Here is a 4,728-nt window from a genome sequence, read left to right on the forward strand (position 1 = left end):
TGGCCAGGCTTCTCCTGAACTCATGTCCTCAAGTGATTTGCCTGCCTTAGCCTCCCAAAGTGCTGGGATTACAGTGTGAGCCACTGTACCCCCAGCCATTATTTGTACTTAAATGTCACACTGGGAATTTGATAATGAAAGGGAATTTGTATTGTTGCAATTTTAGGTTTTTAAATATTGTTGACTTTTTCTTATTTGGAATCATGCTGCTAGGCTCATTGTATACCCATTGTTGTTGAGCTCTAGTTAAGGACTATATGTCCTAATATTTTTCTCAGGACAGTCCTAGTTTATGGTTTATGTGTCAGAGTAATTATTGATAGCTCTCCCTTCCACTCTCAAAAGTGTGCCAGTTTGTTTTATAAATGCCAAAGTCCAAACTCTAGGTGAGGTGGTAGGAAAAAGATCAGGGAGCAATATTTTGCCTAAGACATAGTATGGCCATGACCCATTTCAGAGGTTTTTTCAAAGCATAAGATGAATAGCCCACCAGAGGTCCCACGAGAAAATTCAAAGGACAAGATGTCATTGTATCTGATTATAACTGTAGGTCCTTTACCTACAGGGTCCTTTACCTACAGGGTCCTTTACCTACTGGCACCAAGATACCAGGTTGCAGCAGAGAAAGAGGTGTAATCATAGGGCCTTTGAAGAGGAAATGGGAGAAACCTCAAATCTGTCTCCCTGAGGAGTTTGGGGATAGAGTTTTTAAGGGTTTTGGAGTGGGCCAAAGCATGGAGATTGTTGATCAGTTGAAAAGTGCAGAGTGAAGTCAAGGGACAGGGAGATAAGGAAACTGTTTTCTCATGCTGATTTGGTTCCTCTGTGGGGGTCTTTAAACTGGTTGGCATCAGCTGTTTCCCTGGGATTTGGGATCTAAAAAACACCTTAAGCAATTCATAAGCAAAAGCCATATGATTCTAACATCAGAGATCCTAACTGTAGGAACAGTGGGAATGCAAATGGTCAGTATCTAATGTTACTTTCAGTTACAAGGAAGAGGGCAAAGCGCAGCCTGATTAACTATAGCTGCTTAATTATAACTATATTTCTGTCCAGAATTCTTGTTAACCCTGTGAGGACAGCTTGATAATTACAGAGATTTGTAGTACACATACACATAGGGTGACTCTGAGGGTAGTGGCTGATGTAGGGACAATGGTTTCTTTTTTAACAGCTTTATTGAGATATAATTCACATACCAAACAATTTACACATTTAAAATGTACAGTTTGGCCAGGCACTGTGGCTCACACCTGTAATCCCAACACTTTGCGAGGCTGAGGTGGGCAGGTGTCTTGAGCTCAAGAGTTCGAGACCAGCCTGGGCAATATGGCAAAACCCAGTCTCTAGAGAAAATTTATAAATTATCTAGGCATGGTGGCACACACTTATAGTCCTAGGAACTTGGGAGGCTGAGGCAGGAGGATAACTTGAGCCCAGGCGGTTGAGGCTGCAGTGAGCCATGTTCATGCCACTGCACTCCAGCCTGGGCAACAAAGTGAAACCTATCTCAAAAAAACAAAAACAAAAACAAAAACAAACAAACAAACAAAAGCCAGTACAATTCAATGGTTTTTAGTATATTTTAAAAGCTATGCAAAATAATAATAATAAAATATTAAAAAAGAAAGAAAGCTATGGAACCATCACCATGGTTTTAGGACATTTTCATCCTCAAAAGAAATGTCATGCCCATTAGTAGTCATTCTCCATTTTCCCCACTGCCTCCCTACCCTCTCCCACTGCCCTAGGCAACCACTCATCCACCTTCTGTTTCTATACATTTGGATATTCTGGTTATTTCATATGAATGGAATCATACACTTTGTGGTCTTTTATGACTGGCTTTTTTTTCACATAGCATAATGTCTTCAACAGTGACTTCTTGCAGTTGGACCCAAGGCTGTCCCGATAGAGTCTGACTTATTTCTTGGAGGGAGGTAGTTACACTCATGGATGGCCAAAGCTGTAATTATTAAACTGAAGAGTGCCAGGGGACTTGGCTTTTCCTCCACTCCTTATGTTCCACAGAGGGGAGGGATGATCTCTCTAGAAAGAAAAAGCACGGGAAGAATCCCATAACAATGCCAAACAGCATGAGAACTCTATGCAGAAAGAATTGCTATGAGCTCGATGGAGGAAACACTTGCAGTGTGTTTTAGGTGATGGCTCAGATTTAGATAGAAGAATATGAGGGCAGAACCTAGTACAGAATCAAGTAGGCAGAAAATGGAAAAATCTGTTAAATTATAACCTGTCATATAAATACCTAAGGGGTATGTTGATGCTTGTGTCTACATGTTAAAGACGACCATAATCACCCAAATGGTATCATGAACAAGATGCTTGGAAAATCCCAGGCAAATATTTATAGGCATACACTGCATACTTCGTTAATAATAAAATATGCATAGCTGTGTTATGGCCTGCAGTGATAAATATCTGCATATTTAGAAAACCACCTGCTTTCAGAAATCATTTTCTCCTCTGTTACTGCCTTGCTTTCCTTGATGACTACAAGGATTCTATTTACTTTAAATTATTAAATTCAGGATATAATTTGAACATAATAAGAAGTACAAGTAGAATTTCAAATATAGCATTAACAGCTGGGCACAGTAGCTCATGCCTATAATCCCAGTACTCTGGGAGGCCGAGGTGGGAAGACTGCTTGAAGCCAGGAGTTTGAGACCAGCCTGAGCAACATAGCAAGACCCCGACTCTACAAAAATAAATTTAAAAATGAGCTGGTTGTAGTGGCATGCACCTATAGTCCCAGCTACTTGGGAGGCTGAGATGGGAGGATTGCTTGAGCCCAGGAGTTCAAGGCTACAGTAAGCTATGATCATGCCATTGTTCTCTAGCCTGGATGACAGAGTGAGACCCTGTCTCTAAAACCAACCAACCAACCAGCCAACCAACCAACCAACACAAACAAAAATGTGATAGCAATTAACTGTATCTTCTGCTATGTACTGAATATTTGTTATTACACACTAGATTGTTCTTGCTGATAGAATTTTGAAGCCATTTTCTGTTTCCAGATCAGCATGGGAGATAGTGGTTTCTGCACACAAACAAATTGGCTTGTTTTTAGCATGAATGATTTGTGTTTGTGCTGAACAAGACTTTGCCAGCTAAATGGTCTGGCAGAAGCACTACGCATATATATAGATAACCAAGCAAGAAATGCTTTCAATTTACTTGCTATATTTTTGAAGAATAATGTATCTGCCTAAATAACCTAGTGGGAATTACCTAGCTTTCTCTTCATTTGTTTTTCTAAATATACATTACTCCAAATATTTTAACAATTAATGAAGGTATGACTGGACATTCATCTTTTTCACTTGATATATGGAAATATAAAACCATTATCATTTTGATTTCATTCAATCACTATATCTGGTTATAATTCAGCTGTGTTTTTAATCACTAATATACTCCAGGAAGTTCCATGGTGACACTGAATGTATTACACTATCAATTTATTAAAGATGCTTTCCTTACCAAAATACTTGTTCCAAAAGTTTGTTAAAAAGTCAATTATTTATAAAGGTGAATATGGGGGGAGGAGGCAGAGCAAGGTGGTCAGATAGAACCCTCCAGCAAATGAACAATTATTCATGTAAGAAAGCACATTCATAAGGCAGTACCTGTTTAACATTATATCAAGGAAAGAGGAATTGAAGAGGATAGGAAAGACAGCCTCGCATTGCCTATACCACCCTCCTCGATCCCTTGGCAGTACTACACTGAGCGTGGAGAGAGAACATGTGCTCTTGTGGGAGGGAGAGCAAAGTGAGTGTGGGACTTTGCTGCCTGTCACAGTGGAAAACAACACAGAGAAGAATTCTGCTGGCACCCACAGAGAGATTATCTAGACCAAAGGGGAATCCTCTGCCCCAGCGGTAGTATCCTGAGTTCCCGTCCAGCTCCACCACCGGTGGCTGAGGCCCAGAATAAATTTGGGAGGCAGTCAGGTCACAAGGACTGTAGCCCTTGGGCAAACCACAGTGCTGGGCTAGGCTCAGAGCCAGTAGACTTGGGATGCATGTGACCCAGTGAGACACCAGTTGTGGTGGCCAAGGTAGTGCCTGACTTATCCCTCCCCTTAATCCAGATAGTGCAGCTTGGGGAGAGATTCCTCTACTTGGAGAAAGGAGAGGAAAGAACATAGAGGACTTTGTCTTGCAACTTGGGTGCCAGCTCAGCCACAGTAAAATGAAGCGTCATGCAGATTCCTGAGGCCCCTAGTTTGAAGCCTTAGCTACCATCACATGATGGTATTTCCAGACCCAGCCTGGGCCAGAAAAGGAAGAACCTGGCAGAATCCACCACCTGCTGACTAAAGAGCCCTAGGACCTTGAATAAACAAACATCAGCAGTTGCCAGGCAGTAGTCCTAAGGGCCTTGGGTGAGACCCAGCACTGTACTGGCTTCAGATGTGACCCAATACAGTGCCAACTGTGGTGGCCATGGGAATGCGTGTGTCACCTCTCCCCAAATCCAGGTGGCGCAGCGCAAAGAGAGACTCCTGATGGGGGAAAAAGAGGAAAGAAAGCAAGAGTCTTTGCCTGGTAAACTAGGGATTATACTTTATTTTACCCAAGCCCATCAAGGCAGTGCTTCTAGGAGTCTGCAGCAGTTGCAGCGTTACTGGGCTTAAGGCGCCTCCTAGTGCTGATATGGCTTCAGTGACCACAGGCTTAGATCACAATACTA

The 4,728-nt window shown here is 41.9% G+C and overlaps 2 annotated features.

Moving 5' to 3' along the window:
• Nucleotides 4,302–4,351: an enhancer, noted in NCBI's record as "active region_5490". NCBI's record gives its function as "activates an Ori minimal core promoter by ATAC-STARR-seq in GM12878 lymphoblastoid cells {active_cell/tissue: GM12878}" and the evidence as "EXISTENCE:reporter gene assay evidence [ECO:0000049][PMID:35858748]".
• Nucleotides 4,382–4,431: an enhancer, noted in NCBI's record as "active region_5491". NCBI's record gives its function as "activates an Ori minimal core promoter by ATAC-STARR-seq in GM12878 lymphoblastoid cells {active_cell/tissue: GM12878}" and the evidence as "EXISTENCE:reporter gene assay evidence [ECO:0000049][PMID:35858748]".

The sequence above is a fragment of the Homo sapiens genome, chromosome 11 (genome assembly GCF_000001405.40).
Source record: "Homo sapiens chromosome 11, GRCh38.p14 Primary Assembly".
Lineage (NCBI taxonomy): Eukaryota > Metazoa > Chordata > Mammalia > Primates > Hominidae > Homo > Homo sapiens.